This window comes from Homo sapiens, chromosome 14 (assembly GCF_000001405.40).
Source record: "Homo sapiens chromosome 14, GRCh38.p14 Primary Assembly".
NCBI classification, from domain to species: domain Eukaryota; kingdom Metazoa; phylum Chordata; class Mammalia; order Primates; family Hominidae; genus Homo; species Homo sapiens.
In genome coordinates this window covers 47,262,248-47,279,566 of record NC_000014.9, presented here as the reverse complement: position 1 = coordinate 47,279,566, position 17,319 = coordinate 47,262,248, and the positions used below count along the sequence as shown (strand labels likewise).

Genomic DNA, 17,319 nt, shown 5'->3' with positions numbered 1-17,319 from the left:
ATAATAATGCAAAATATGTCTAGGGAAAATCCTGAATTACATTAAAGGCAAATGTCAAACTGGAAAAGAATATATAAAATATTTACAGCTTATATCCAAGAAAAAGAGATAATGTTTTCAACAAAAGAAAAGCACAGCATATTATAAGAAAAAGTACAGTGCAAGAGAAACATGGTCTAAGAATGTGAATAGGCAGAAATACACACACTCAAGTGTCTCTTAGACCAAAACTAGCTTAATCTAACACTTATTAATAAGCCTGATAAAAATGGAAAATAGAGACTTAAAAATGTTACATTGTAGAGAAAAAAGTAATTGATAATATACTCTATCAGTATGCATACCCTCAAAATTTGCTGATGGAAGCACACATTTTTAATCAATTTGGAAATATCGATTAAGACTAATGCACCTAGATTTTGACCACAATTTCATTTCAGTGTATTCATACTTGCATATGTATATATGTGTATACTGTCATTTATACTATGTACATGTATAACAAGGGTTTTCATTGCAACATTATATACTAGCAACCTAATTGTCAAACTTTAGGGAATTAGATACATAAATCAATCAAAAAGCAGAATACTATGCAGTTTTTAAAAATAATAAAGCCTTCCTATATATTCTGATGTCAAACTTTCCCCAAGATATATTATTAAATTAGAAGGGAAAATGACAAGGCAAGTGGAAACACAGTGCTGGCATGTGTATGAAAAATTCATGGAATAATCCTGAAAGAACATACAAAAAGCTAATAATAATGTAGGGGACAGGGGATGAGGAGGAAAGATACTTACTTTTTATTATATACATTTCTTGTTTCTTTTGAATTGTGTGTCATATGCGTATATTATCTATTCCATACCTTAAATTTAAAAATTGAATAGTACTCAGTTTTTAAGTACTGAGAGGTTGGTGAGGACTAGAAAAAGAAAAATAATCTCATTCTAATCTGACATCCTTCACTAAGCCCTGATACTTAACACAGGTCTTTAGATGACTGGACCATAATTTTGGACCCGGTTTGAGGTCTCTGCCTGGGGATCCCGGGTGCCTGAGTCTGTGGCTTGGCTCCTGACAGTTTATGGTGAAAGCTGGTCTCGCTGAAAACACAGAGGACCTCTAGGGGGCAGTGTTTCCCAGAGCTGTAGCCAGCTTCACAGTCTGAGTTCTGGCTTCATGACCCTGATCTGATCACTATACATTGTATGTATCAGAATCTCGTTGTGGACCCCATGACTATGTAAAATTATTATTTGTCAATTTAAAAATAAAATTGAAAAAAATTTAAAATATTCTCCAAGAGTAACCTTTTTACTACTCTTACTTTATGTATTGAATTTGATCCCTGTTATTGCAGTAACTTTTCTGATTTTTTTGTGTGTTCATTCGTTTATTTTTATTTAATTAATTTATTTATTTATCTTGACTCTTCATCATTCAACTTGAATTGTGTATCCATTCTTGCAGCCATGGAAATTTTAAACCTCAGAGGTTTTTCTTTCTCTTTTCCATCCTTTACTCCCCTCTATAGCTACTTGGGCTTTCCCTCCCTAACTCTTTTTCCCCTCTGCTGGCTGATGCCTGGAATCCCTTGCCTGTTTTTTGCTTCCTCTTCATCTCTGGGCTCACTTTGTCATAGAGCAGAATGATGGTAAAGAAATTCTTACTTAGGGTGAGGTTCCTAGCCATCAGCATTTCCAGGAAACTGGCGGGGTTGGGCAATTGTCAGTAAGTACTCTCAAGTTTCAGTCCTGTTACCAAGACATTCAAGAGAAATGCATGAACAATTTAGCCTTCCTGAGATTTTAATTCATCTCAGTCCAACTCCCACTGTATTTCTTAGCCCTATCATTTTGGTTGGAGAAACATTTCATAGTTTTGGTAGATTAGGTCCAAGTGACCTATATGCTTTTCCCCAACTGATGCTTTCAATTTCTCATAGTTAATATTAACCCTGTTTTACTTTCCATCTTCAATTAAATAAATTTCTTCTCTGAAGTCCTTCTCTGGTCAATATTGTCCAATCAAATGCATAAGAATTAGACAATGAATATATGTATTTTATATTTGTTGCTTAATTTAATATTTATAATTGTTCACTCAACACATATTTAGGGAATATCTGCTAGAGCATTGCTAGTTAAATCAAGGTGATAAAAATGGTCTAAATGTGCAATTAATTATTTAAGCCTGCCTCCCTTGAAAAATAGAAGGATGTCTTGTTCACTGTTTATCCACATTGCATATATGTTTTTAATTGTTTATCTTCTATAAGCAAGTCTTAGGTCAGGTTTCCTGGAAACAGTTTCTGAGATGAGGATTAACATGAAAGAGATTTGTTAAGGGAAGTGCTCACAGGAGATTGGCAGGGTCTGAAGAAAGCAGGATGGAGCAGGGAAGGAAGCAAAACAAGGGTGTGAGCTCAGGCAAAGGCACTGAGAGAATGGCTTCAGCCTGATCCTTCATAAGAGCTTTATGGCTCAGAGCTTCGCTGTCCCTTGTAGATTTGAGTCCACTGCCCTGTCCGCCGTGGTCAGGCCCTGTTCCTAGAAAAGAGAATTCCCAGGCTGGTAGTGGTGTGGTATGGTATTTTAGTCTTGGATTTCTGACTTTGTACTCCACACAGTAACCTAGGACTGCTAAATATATATTTGTAAGAGAAATGAATGGAAAATAAACTAGTAGGGAATATCAAGGAGCTTAGACTCTAGTCAGAAGAAGATATTGAGGAGCGTGATGAAAGCTGAAAAAATAAATTGCTGTTGTAATTCAGAGGAAGAACAAAAGATGTGTACTTCAGACCAAGTTGACCAAACTCATTGACCACTCCAAATAACACATTTCTGGGGCACAGAATAGTCATCACGTATTAATTGGCAGAGACATTGGCAATTACAGAATTACAATTTGTTTCTTTGCTAGTGTCTTTTTTAATTGGAATTTTTTTTATCAGAGATAACTTCCATTGGAGACAAAATGGAATTATAGTATGACCCATTATCTCTTTTTACTTAGAATAAATAAAAATGACCCATTTTTATAAAGGTGGTTTACTCAATTAAACAAAACACCTCCATCAACATTTGGTGGTTTATCTGACCACCTTAATATATTAATCTATTATTGCCTGATACACATTTTTCTGGATTTTAGATTTAAGAATAAGGTATTTGCACAAGTATTTATTTCCTTTCTGATAAGTAATCTGGAGAGATACCAGGGATTACGGCTAAATAGTAGCATGTTTTTTAATCAATTTATCATTTCCAAGACTTAGTTTCCTCATTCATCTAAGGAGGTTCCCTTTCACCTCATAGACTGGATTAGAACTTATAATTTGGACTCTGGTAGTGTTATGCATTTTTAAACCAATGCCTGATTATGTTTAATTAAGAGATGAATAGCTGGAAGATACTTCTGACAGACTGAACTGGCACTCTCAAATAAAATCATATAGGTGACAAACTACTACCACTGCATGTCTACACTGCCTTGACAGAGGTGTTTATCACTGGCTTCACCAGTAGTTTCTGCTTGGCCACTTCATCCAGGAAAGTCACAGTTGAAAAGACTGTCTAGTCAAACCCTTGAATTTTTCGCTTGAGACAATGGGAATGTAGAGATGGCAAGTGATGTTTCAGAGGACACAAAGTTAATGCAGGGAAGAACAGGAACTGTGTGTCAACTCTTAGACCTTGGCTCATTACATTACGCAGGCTGCTCTCATGCAGAAGTGAAGTATTTCTCTCCTGTAAGATAAGATGATCGGGCGCTTCTCTGCTTCAGTTCAATGTACTAAACTCTAAAAAAACTAAGCAAAACACTTCATGTTTAAAAATGAAACTGGAAATATTTGTCTAAAGCAAAAAATATTAACATGAGTGCTATAGTTAGCAATATTATTAAATGTTTCCCCCTTTTTTCATGGAATTATAGTATTACATAAAGCTTTTTAGGTATATTTGACAGTTATCTAGATTTAGTTTAAATCTAGGATAGTAACTAAAATATTTAAACTGGACTTTGCCTTAGGGCCTCCACATGAGAGGCATAAATATTTTAATTGTGTAATTGTTATTTTAATTATTTAAAGAAATATAAATATTTTTTAAATGTTTATATTACATTGGCCTTCTTTCAGCACATATACTCTTTCAACTGAGCTTAACCTGTAACTAGCAATAGCATAGTGTGAATAATATCCATCTGGGAACCACATCGTACATTAGAAAATCTATATAATGGTATGCCAAAGTTGTTAGGTATGGCTCTGTGGGACTCTACCCTGTTCTAAGCTAACAAAAGAGGAATTCACAGTATATCATGTTTACATGACATTGCTTGTTCGCTAACGTCTGTCTGGAATAAGGTTCCACTATTCTTGATTTGTTCCTTCTTACTCATCATTCAAACCTAAGCTGAGGTGATTTCTTAATATGGCACCAAAAGCACAAGCAATAATCACAACAAAAGTAGATAAATTGTACTAAATCAAAATTAGAAACGCTTGTGCTGCAAATGGGACCATTAAGAAAGTGAAGCAACACCTCACAGAATGGGAGAAGGTATTTGTAAATCATATATCTGATCAGGAACTTGTATAGAGAGTTTATAAAGAACTCTTACAACTCAATAGTAGAAAAATAATGCAATTTTAAAATGGGCAAAGGATCTGAATAGAGATTTCCCCAAAGAAGATATGCAAGTGTTCAATAAGTGCGTAAAATACATGCTCAACATCTTTAGTCATTAGGGAAATGCAAATTAAACCTACAAGGAGACACCACTTTATATTCACTAAAATGCCTATGAACAAAAATAAGGTCAATAACAAGTGCTGGGGAATTGGTATCCTTATACATTGCCAGTAGTAATAAAAAATGATGCAGCCACCTTGAAGAACTATTTGAGAATTCCTCAAAAAGCTAAACATAGTTACAATATGACCCAGCAGTTTTACTCCTTAGCGTACACTTGAGAAATAAAAACATACCTTCGCACAAAAACTTGTACACATAAATGTTCATACAACAGTGCTCATAGTACCAAAAAGTGGAAACAACCCAAATATCCGTCAGTTGATGAATGGATAAATAAAATGTGGCCTATCTATGCAATGAAATGTTATCAGCAATAAAAATAAATTAACTAATAATACATGCGCAAAAAGGAAGAACCTTGGAAACATTATCCTAATAAAGAAAGTAGTCATAAAAAAAAACATCGTGCATACTTCTGTTTATATGGAATGTCCAGAATAGGTGAATCCATACAGACATAAAGTAAATAGTGGTCGTTTAGGGCTGGTGGGGTTGGGGAAAGAGTCAATGGCAAGAGATGATGAGTGATAACTAATGGCTACAGGGTTTCTTTTAGAGGGAACCAAAATGTTCTAAAATCTGATTTTGGTGATGGTTGCGCAACCACGTGAATATATTAAACACTGAATTGTAAAACTCTAAATGGGTAGGTTGGATGGTATGAATGAAATTTCAGTAGTGATTGCAGTGAAGCCGTTAAAAAAATAAAAGCCCTACTCTTAGTGTAGCCTCTAGAATAATTTATCTGAAACTCAATTTGAGCTCATTTTCCTTTCTTTTGGTTGCTTGTGCTTATATTTATGTTGACATAAAAGTTCCTCATATGTCAATCTTTATAGCTAAACTCAAAGTTCCTCATGATCGGAGACAAATTCTTCTTTATTATTATTGTTGTTTTTCTAAACTTTTGCCAGGGTCTGGCATAGGTCTTCATGCATAGGGAGCATACAACTGAACTTCACTATATTATCCTTTACATTCAAACAGGCTTTTGAAATTATTTTTAAAAATGTTAATATTCAAAGTTTTTATGGACAGGAAAAATCTCTCTCTAAATGTTTGAAAATAAATATAAATTTTAATAAGGCAAAGGTTTCACCTTGAAAGTGTGAATGATAACAATAAATTGTAAGAGAAGACAATCAATATTTACATACTGAAAGTGACAAAATGTACCAGGCCATTAATATGATTTTATGAAGGAAAAATCAGATCAGCTTCCTTTTACTTTCTTCTTGTTATAAGGATCTTATAATTCAAAAAATCCCTTATGACTATTTTATCTTTCGTTAAAGCACCATTAAGCTTTTCAAACATTGTGAGTTTGCTCTGACTTTTCCTTGCCTCAGTATACTTGAGCAAAAGAGCTGGACTGAACCACTAAAATATTGTTATTCAAATATTATCATATGGTTTTACTGAAAGATTCCACTGTCATCCTGGCTTCATTAATAATATCAGAATATAATTTGACACGAATTTTGAAGATGGCTTTAAGTAACAATTATGAGTTGATTTTATGTTCAAAATTATGCTTGAGAAAAATAGAAAGTCCCTTACCTCAGTGATTTGCAAGATTTTTTAAACTGAACTCTTTGTTCCACCAAAATCTTATTCAAAATCCAGTATATAAGTCAGAAGGACAGAGTTGTTCTGCTTATCAGGGACTAAAAAGGGGGTCAAGAGATCCAACCCGTGGCCAGCGTCATCCCCTGGGATACCTCCAAAGATTGCTTCAGGCTCCTTAGAGTAAAAAATCACTGCCTTAGTTAAGTGGAAAGTAGGCCTATGCATTTCCCTGCATCTAAGGAGTTGTATTTTTTTATAGTAACCAATTACCTTCAGCTAAGCTAATTTAATGGCATTTCGCTAACTGATTAGCAAACACCTACCTCATATGTATATTGTTCTATAGACTTTTTAAAAATGGAAAGGTGTTAATAGGTTAACCCCGTGAAAACACACTGGTGTGATGAAAATAGCTATGGAATGAGGTGCATGAAATTTGTTACCAATAATATTTAAAGTGTCAATTTTTGCAAATGGTTTCCTTGGGAAAAAACTTGAAGATATTTCTATAGTCAAATTATCTGTATTCCCTTTTCTTCTTCATTAAAAGCCCAACTGGAGTACTAGGGAAAAAGTGGAGTACAGCTGATATGGGGATTGCTTCTAACCCTGGATATGAGTTTAAGAGTGGGTGAAGGGAGTGAACAGGTCCATCCTAGAAGGGCAGAGGATAGGTGAGAACTTTTCCTTCCCTTCGTCTTTCAACTCCCCCTCCCATCTTCTTCTTCTCTTGACCATGATTTTAATCTCTATTTCTATCTTGTTCTCTCTCCTTTCTTCTGGTGTGACATAACTGGTATCAGAGATAGCTTGGCCATTCACCCACAATGAAACCTTCAGTAAGACCTTTAGCTTTGACTTCAGTTTCTTCATCTGTGCAATAGAGATAATCATGATGCCTCCCTCGTGGGGTTGTGTGATGGTAAGTGAGGCAGCCCATAGAAAGCACCTAGCAAAGGGCCTGGGCAGGTAGTTAGGTCTCAACGAAATTAACAATTGCTCTTTCATTAGTTGTTTCCTTTCCCTCGTCTTCCCTTAAATTTCATTTTAACACTTAATGTGTTGTATTTCTTATTTATACTTAACTAAAGAAAAAAAATGCTAAGCATTTTCATTTGACTTTGTCAAGGTTTTGGCTTGAGGATACTTTCATGAAATAATAGCATGTAAAGGAAAAGCAAAACGTTGTTTATGAATATCTAGAGTGTCAAAACTGGGGTGTACACAATAGCAAACTATCAACTTAAAAGTGATTTTCAGCATACTGTGACTTGTCAAGGGTGAAGTCCTAGATTAAAACAGTTTTTCTGGAATTTGGTCACCACAATTGAGAAAGAAAATTATTTTAGAAATCCAGAAGAAAATAAGGAATGAATATTTGATATTTGAGAAATTATTTATAAACAAAATTTTACTGATAAAATTATTTATAAGTTTTTAAAGTTTTTTAGCTATTTTCTAACATTATTGATGTTTTATGTCTAAAGGGAGAAAAGAATGGTCTCTGTAGCTTAAATGACTTATTCAAGGTCAGGAGGTGCAGAGCCAGCCACAGGAATGGGACGGGAACTCTGACTTTTATCATTCCTACTGCTGTTTGATGACTCCTTCCAGGGCAATGAGCACTCCCAGCATCTTTCAAATCAGTCTGTTTTTCCCAGGGTTCTACTTATACGCAATTCTCATTCTCTGCTGCAGAGTGAATATTTGCGAAAGAACCTGGAACCACATTTTAGATTTTTACATTTCAACTTTATTTTCATCTTTTTCAAAAAGAAAAAACACATGCAAACTCTTAGTTGGCCAACAGACTTGCTCGCACTGTACTTTTGTAGGTATTTTCTGTTCAAAATTAGTTGTGGGGAAATAGGACAGAATTGCATTAGGGATTTTCAATTAATTGTGCTTAAAATATTAAAAATAAAAAGAAGGAATTCGAAGGTGAAGCTGTTGCTAGTATTGGAGCAGCACTAATGCAAAGGCAGGTAGAGCTAAGACTTTGGGGGCAGGAAAGGTTTGGGGTGCAGATATGGAGGTCTGGAACCATTTTTAAGTTCCTCTCTCTGATAATAAAACCCTAAAACCTTGCATTTTCTACTGCAGAGCATATGCATTCAAGACTAAAGTTAGTAATCCTACACAGGAAAGAAAATGGCAAACAGACAGAAGAGGAGGAGTGACTTCCTTTTAACTTTCCCTGGAAAGCTTCTAGGGACATCTTCAATCCTGCTAAGTATAGATTTTCCCTGCAGGATTGCGGTTAGAGGAAATCACATGAGTAAACAAGCCTCTTTTGTTTTGAAAGTCAAATGAAGACATATATTTCTACGTCTTTCTATTATTTTGAGAGCATATTCACATGTGTGCTCACGTGCCCACACACACACACAAACAGTGCACGCTTACATACAGCCTATTCCAAGCATAAATTAAAATGTATTTGTAGTTTTCTTACAGTGATGATTACTCTCCTATAAAATATTTAAGAAGTTTTTGTATTTTTCCATCACTGTATTTTGTCCTAAAAACACCGTAAAAGAGCTTCCTCACATCACCTCCTCATCTCATGCCACCTTGTCATTTGAGCCACACATAAACCAAGAAGAGATGTAAAGTGGTATTACCATTCCTTTTCCCCATTAACATTAATCTATATGTTTTGAATATATTTGGGTCTTTTTATTTTATGTTCTTCTGTTAAATCATAGCAACTGAAACTACTTTCTCTCCGAGTTCTTACATGGCATATACAAATATTACCCACATGAATATTAACGCTTCTCTTCTCAGTTATGCCACTTCAAGATGACTGGCAGTCTCTAGTTTATGGAACCGCTTGATCCTGTTCTATTAGACACAATCAGGATTGCACATACACGCAGTAGAAAATTCTGGTACTCTGGAAAGTAGGTAGAAAAAAAATCACATTACCTTTTTTGGAACACAAATAACAGTGTTTAAGTGTCTGGTATTGCTTAATGGAAAAATCCATGGTACAGTTCAAACTAAATGAAATAATGATGTAAGTTAGGGTGCTCCTTCAAACAGCATCTTAAGTAGATAGTTATGCACTTCTGAGATCAACCCCACAGCAGCCGTGCAGCCTCAGAGCTTGTTATGGAATTTCATATTCCTTTAATGGAAATGGCTCCACGCTGTGCTTTCACTTTTCCAACTGTGGCAGTAATAGTTAGTAATCAAGTCATAATGTAATAATCACAACTACAGGGAAATGCTGGCTGATGTAATGGGTTGCAAGGGGAAAAAATATTGGTGTTTTTCCAGACTTTATTTCATCAGTCTCTTTTGTCATATGTTGAAAGAATCTAAGAATATAGATGAAAACAGACCCTCAAAGGTGCCTACATAGATGATGCTATATCACTTGCTTATTTCTACTGAATTTTTCTCATCTCAGTACTCACAAAGATGTCACAAACTTGAAATTTTTATGTTAAAATCTGAAAAAACATTATGCTCTGAGTAAGAGCCTAGAACTTACCAAATTCTAGAGTCTGTCATATACTTTACTGATACTTTAATGAAGCAAGGATCAACAAAGCATATTTATGTTCTATAGTTTGCAATTACTTGAATTTTTTTCAGAACCTGGTTATTTATGATGTTTCAGGAATTTTCATAAAAAATGCTACTTGCTGATTAGAATGAGTTATTACTACTGCTTCTTTGATTAATTATGGTCTCCTAAATTTTCAATGAAGACACAAAGTCCTCTGATTTAGAAATACAAATTATACACTCATTCTATGAAAACTGTCCTGTCTAGTCTTTTTACTTTTTGGATAAGGAAATTGGTACATGAGAAAGTAACTGACTTTATGTTCTTCACGTACAGAATGGTATAAATGAATATAGTTAATGATGACCATGGATCGTTTCAAAGGGCCTATAGCTTCCCTTTTATAAGAATACATATATGACATAGCTTCACCAAAAAAAAATGCTTAGGGAAGGGCCCATGAAGTCCTACTACGTATAGTACTAGGCAGTGATCTTAAGGATGACAGAATATTTTCCTAAACTATATCCCTCAGCTAAACCTAACTACTGTACTTAAATGCCAAGTCCTACCATTGGAGCCTTCCTCAATCCACAGAGATTTTTTTCTCCTCCTCAGTTTTACCCAGGTATTAACAAGTAGGACTTAGCTCACAGTGAGCCTTACTTCACAGTACTCTGTGAAAACTTTATAATCCCAAAGTGTTAATATGCTTACAGAAAAAGTAAAGCATATTTATTTAAATCATATTTTGCTATTATTCTATTGCATATGGCAGCATTTATCCTTAAACACTGATTTCCATTAACATTGCCAATAATTTATCTACTCATAGAATTAATTCATGCTTCATTAATGCAGAGAATGTTTCAGACATAGTTTGCAGTAGAGTTTCATAGTATCATCAGATCATCACAGGGTAGACATAACTGTGCAACCCAAACTGCATCTTTGTTTCTAAAGGTTACATAATTATAAGGTTTTGGCACCAAAGAGATCAGAATTGCATCTAGACATATGACAGTAAAACACTTCAAGTTTTCAGAAATGGAGAGTTTAGAGGCATTTGGCACCTTGCTTTCTCATTATTATAGAGTTTCAGGATGGAATGTGTCTGAATTCTAGTCCTGACTATTGTTTGTATTCCTGTCTTTTCTGTTTTTTAAATAGTCAGTAGAATCCAGCCATTTGTTCTTTTAGTATCATTCTTTTTAAAATAAATTTTTCAAAATTATTTTTATAATGAATTTGCCTGTATATAAAAAGGAAATAAGGGCCTGGCGCACTGGCTCATGCCTATAATCCCAGCACTTTGGGAGGCCGAGGCGGGTGGATCACATGAGGTCAGGAGTTCGAGACCATCCTGGCCAACATGGTGAAACCCCGTCTCTACTAAAAATACAAAAAAATTAGCCAGGTGCAGTGGCACATGCCTGTAACCCCAGCTACTCAGGAGGCTGAGACAGGAGAATGGCTTGAACCAGGGAGGCGGAGGTTGCAGTGAGCCGAGATGGCACCATTGCACTCCAGCCTGGGCAACAAGAACGAAACTCTGTCTCAAAAAAAAAAAAAAGAAGAAAAGGAAATAAGATGTTTTGAGGCTGCATGAGTAGATTGTAGCCTTTGTCCTATTGTGTTAGGTACTTAAGCCCATAAACAAAATAATGTTTAAAACTCAAGGGAAGGGCAGAAAGAACGTTGCTCAGTACTACCAATAAATGTTTGTTAATCAAACCATAACATTTTGACCCTAATGTTGAGCACCTAGAAACTATAACTTTGACTTACTAAAGGGCTTGAAATTATTTTAAGTGCTTTATATTTTGTTCAGAAAAATAAATCAAATTATTAATCATTTATATCATTCATAATAAATAATACCAGTACAAATAACACAAAGCAAACAGTGGACAAAATTTAAGTTTAAAATTTGTAGAAGAAAAAAACAATTGAGGAAGATTGTGTTTTCTATGGGATTTTCAAATTGGTATGTGTGTGTTCATTAGAAGTAACCTATAAAACAGATATTGTTCAGATATGCATACACTTAAACCATTATTTCCAGAAAATAATGGAAAAATTAAATTATTGTGACAAAGTTTCTATTTGCCATTCGTGACCTGAGAAATTAGGAATCAACAGTCACAGTGACTGGAAAAGAAAAAAAATGACATAAATAACAATTAAAAATTGGATATGGACAAAATTAAATCAATGAGTCAAATTTTTTATGTCATTAACATTAGTTATGATGAATACATATAAAAACATTCAATAAAATGAATTTTAATGGAATTTAAAATCATTTCATTTCCTTTCCAAGTCATTAAATTGCCTTTGTGATCTTAATTTTAAAGACTGTTTTTTTTCACTTAGAATATTTCCACATTCATATAATTATGATTAAAAACTGTGTATTTACCAAAAAAAGAATCATATTTTGAGATCAAAGTGGAGAGGTCAAAATAGCTTTTACTGTGTCATTTCCCTTTTCCACCTTTGTATCTATAGACATGGTTAGATTCTTAACAAGGACAGTGTTACCAGGTACTTCATGCAATCATCCCTCATTAATCCTCTGAATAAACTCATCAATTCATTCAACAAATGTTTATTGATTACCATTACCATGTAAGCCACTATATTCAAAGTTAGGTATATAGACAAAAATAAGACAGACATAGTTTCTGACTTCAGAGAACAGGAAAATTATGAATTAGTGTGCTAAGTGTTTTGAATGGGGATGTTCTGGATAACATGAAGGCAGAGCACCTCTCCTAGACTTTGAGAGCCCAAAAAGGCTATGCATAAAGAGTGAAGTTGAAAGTTGAATAATTAATCAAATTACACTGGAAGTGTTGGAGAAGAGTAGGAGCAGAAGATTAGCACCTCAGGCAGAGAAAATTACTTGTTAGAAAGCTAAGTGGTGAGAGCTTGACACCTTCAGAGAACCAGAAATCAGTCACTCTAAGAGGGGAAAATACAATTCCAGAGACTGAAGAGATTATAGGGAACAGATCCTGAAGAGCTGAGGAAAATCTACATAAGGACTTTGGAGTTGAGTCCTCTCTGAAATATTTTAATTAAGATATTGACAGAATCAGATTTTAATTTTAGGAAGATTATTCTAGCTACATGCTAAAGAATGATTGAGCATGAGGAGGCAGGGAATAGTGGCAAGATGGAAGAGAAGGAGACGAAGTAGAAGACTCGTAGTTACATTGGTCAGATATGACAGTGGCCTGACCAGGGTAGTGGCAGTGGAGATGAACGTGTCTGAGACTTATTTTGGAAGTATAGCCTATGGGATTTAGTGATTGAATATATGTAGGGAGTGAAGGACTAGACAAAATTAAATAAGTCTGGGGTTTCTAGTTTGAACACTGGGTAGACAGAGGACAGGTGAGTAGAGATAATATGATAATAAATGTTCTGGAATAAAGAATGGGCTTGGGAGTTAAGCAGACCTGGGTTTGGGTTCCAGCTTTATCCCTGCGATAATTTGGGCTAGTTACTTAGTCTATTTAAACTACATCTCTTTGTCCACCTATACATTGAAGATGAGAGGTACCTCCCTATTTTGCTGTGAGGATTAAATGAGGTAACATATGAGGATTATGTGACCTCATTTAATCCTAGACCCATGCCTTGCTCATAGTGTTTGCAATCAATAGCATTAGTTGTAATAATAGTAGTAAAGATTTGTGGAGGCCAGAGATTATGATTTCTGTATATCTTATGTGGTAGGTGTTGTGATTTGTGATTTGCTTTTTAAAGGTCTGAAGAGAGCTTGATTGGAAAATTTTAAACTTCTGTGTTATTGGGAACTTGGGCGCATTAGTTTATTTGGTATTAACATGGAAGGCCTCTAATGTGAGATAAGATTATAGTAATGTCACCACTCCTTACAGTGGAGTTGTGATTCCTCTAGGAGTTTTCAGATTTGGCTAGTCAGTTTTTAAATAAAATAATTTTATCCTATGATAAGCTAATGAGTTTTTTTTTTTTTTAATGCATTCCCAAAACGAAGTTAAACACTGGCTTCCACAATAATGTCAGGTTTATGCCATTACATTTAGGGTCTTCTCCATGAACTTCAAAGCAAATAAGATAGTAACATACTCAAACTATCATGAATAGAAAATAGACCAACTAATGAAAACTCTCTAGAATGTTTTTATATGGATATTTAAAATATGAATTTTGCTATCATGGAGATACATATATTATTAAATCTTGATTAACTTTATAACATAGGGAGTGATGTGCTAGAGCCATCTCTTCATGGCCTGTGAAAGATTATTCTTAAACACAATGACCATTACAAATTAAATGACACGGTGTTACAATTAAATATATTAAAACCAAATGTAATACATACTCAAAACTAATCACTTCATAATTCTTTTACTGTATTACAAATGCTTTTGAAATTATTTATGTCTACTGAATCCATATGATGGAAATGCTATGTAATGATGTACAGTGCATCTCTTCCTAACTCTGCATTCAATGCCATTATAGTGGTAATTTGAAAACTGCCCTGTTGAGAATATTTCATCATAGAAATTGGCAAATGCTACAAATCGAAGCTTTTTGTTTTGCTTGGTTTCATTTGTTTAGAGAGCTACTTGTTAAACATTTACCAGCATAACACTGAACATAGGTACCTTTTTACAGCAACATTAAAAAATAAAATCATGTTCTCACACATAAGTGGGAGTTGAACAATGAGAAAACACTGACACAGGGAGGGGAACATCACACATGGGGGCCTGTCTGGGGATGGGAGGCTAGGGGTGGAATAGCATTAGGAGAAATACCTAATGTAAATGACGAGTTGATGGGTCATTTACCCATGGCAAGTGTATACTACCATGGCACGTGTATACTACCATGGCACGTGTATACCTATGTAACAAACCTGCACATTCTGCATATGTATTCCACAATAAAAATAAAATAAAATAAAAATAAAATCATAAAATTTTTAAAGAAAAAAATCACAAATATTTTTTAAAACTGAAGTGAAATATATTGACTAGAGTCAACAGAGTGAAAAGCCCTAATTACTAAGAAAATATTTTAAATTATTTGACACTTCCTTAGAAGGTAAGACTTGGAATGTAGAAAACTTAGTTCAGCCCTTTAAAAAAGACTTTCGATGTCCAATTCACTCTGTCTTTTTTAAAGGTATCCTTTTTGAGTAATGCCATAGAAGACTAATTGTACTGTGTTCCAAAAATATGCTTTAAGAAATGGTTGAAAAATTGCAGTCAACCCAATACTTTTAGCCTACCTGGAGCAAATAATTATGAATTTTAGTAGTTTGGCTCTATTATTTTTTGTTTATTATCTTTTACTGATGATGTCTATAATGACATGTTCCATTTGCCAAAGATTTTAGAGCAGAAACACCTGTGAAGAAATTTTCAGTAGTATGTGATTTATTAGTGAGTTCATTATAGATGGGTCTCAGAAGTACAAATATAGGACAGATTTCAAAACTAATGCCTCCCTGCTTCTTGAAAACAATTGCAGTTATTAAATTATTACACAAGGACACGCTGACTTAAATAGCTTTAACTTTCTTCATGGGTTCGAGAAATGGTAATGGGGTAAATTCTGTGATATAAAAAGTGGTTTGAATATCATCATTTTGGCTAAACCTGTTACAAAATGGAACATGACTTTGAAAGCTTGTACTGCTCCATAGATGTAAGTGTGGTCACAGGTTGGTTGGTGCTTGTTGGAGTTTTTGAACTTAGAGTTCAATTGTTATTTTTCTTTATGAAAATGGTAAAAATTGTAAATGACAAATGGTAAAAATTAGGATAAAATTAATAAATTAATTTTTCATTTTGATATAAAGAATGGCTAAAAATGTTGACTTATAAGTGAATATTTGTCAAGGCAAATCATCTTCTGCCAAATGCAAGCAAATGTGATGCTTTTGCTATTCAGATGTGATCACCACCATGGAATGAAGCCTGAGAGTTGGCCTAAGAAAGTCCAATGCAGATTAATCTATTGGAACTTTCTAGCTCTTTGCATGTATGACAATCACAGTAATGGTCAGAAAATAAAGAACATCATCAGTTGTACTACCCTATAACAGTTTTTTAATGAGGACTCCACTGAAACACTAAAAAACTAGTAGTAGATCAAAGACTTTTCTAATTCAAAAGACAGTCCTTCAGCCAGAAAATATAAATCACATATTTTCTAAGAGAAGCTTGAAAAATATGGCTTCATATTACTATTTAGTTGTGTCCTGAATACTTTTCTTAGGTGATGAGATCATAAGGCTTTTGGGGATGGAGGATGGGTGGCAGTGGTGGGGGTGGTGGAAACAAAATAACAATTTATAATTTGAATCCACGTGCCTAACTAAATCCACGTTCTTAAGATTGTGAGACATGAAAACATAAAGGAGAAATTTCCAATTTATTGACCCAACTATGCAGTGCCAGATTGAACTTAGAAAACTTAAAGTAGTAGCATCTTAGAAGCCGGATGTCACCAGGACAATACAGCCAGACTGGCAGGCAGGCAAAGGCAAGAATTACCCTGCTAAATTTGCCTTTGTGCAGGATCTACCCCACAGCCCGATAGGCCCTAAAACTCACACTTTGCAATGAACTTGGGAGGCTGACTCATGCTGAAAAAACTCACAATAATGTTAAGTTTATAAGCAGAATGATGATTAATTTATGTATTATGATACATTTACCTGCCAAAGAGGTAGTATCATTCTTTGGCTATGACATTTTTTCCTTGTTAGAAAGCTGTAAAGAAAGCCAAATTTTCATAAAGAGAGATAGATATAGGATTCACATATAATGATATTAAGCTTTCAAATCTATGCTCTTCATCTCCATGAAAGTGAAGTCCAAGATACCAGGGCCTGTCAGGCCAAATATTATGACCTTTTGGTCTTAACTTTCCTGTTCTGTATTTGAATAAGGTCTGCCATCTTTGTCTTTTGACTGTACTTTGCTCAAAACTTTCCCTATTGAACTTCTATTCTTCAGATTGATGGCCTAGATGGTGTTGCCCAAGCAAATTCATGGAGTAAGGGAGAAAAACATCAGAATTTCCACTGGTGCCTATTTGCATCATTTTTCTATTTTATATGTATTTTACAATGCACATACTATTTAATAATAACATCAAACAGTGTATGGTGTAAATTTTGTGTCAGTCGCTGATCTAAGGGCTTTAAACACATTTGATATTTGGGACAGCCTTGTGAGAAAAATACAAATAAAGCCAAGATTAAGTCATGTTAACTCATCCAGAGTGGAGGAGCTGAAAATTCAAAACAAGGTTGTCTGATTTGAAATTCCATGCTTTTAACCACTACACCATTCCCACAGTGGTCCCTAAATATAATCCATA

General features: G+C 34.5%; 1 protein-coding gene across 9 annotated transcripts in view, besides 1 other annotated feature; it reads left to right on the top strand.

Annotated features, from left to right (window-relative positions):
* The window catches only part of MDGA2 (MAM domain containing glycosylphosphatidylinositol anchor 2), an 835,983-nt gene that overhangs the window by 396,039 nt on the left and 422,625 nt on the right, over window positions 1-17,319 (top strand). The gene's annotated exons all lie outside the window — the stretch shown is intronic.
* Window positions 1,063-1,142: a silencer, noted in NCBI's record as "silent region_5695". NCBI's record gives its function as "represses an Ori minimal core promoter by ATAC-STARR-seq in GM12878 lymphoblastoid cells {active_cell/tissue: GM12878}" and the evidence as "EXISTENCE:reporter gene assay evidence [ECO:0000049][PMID:35858748]".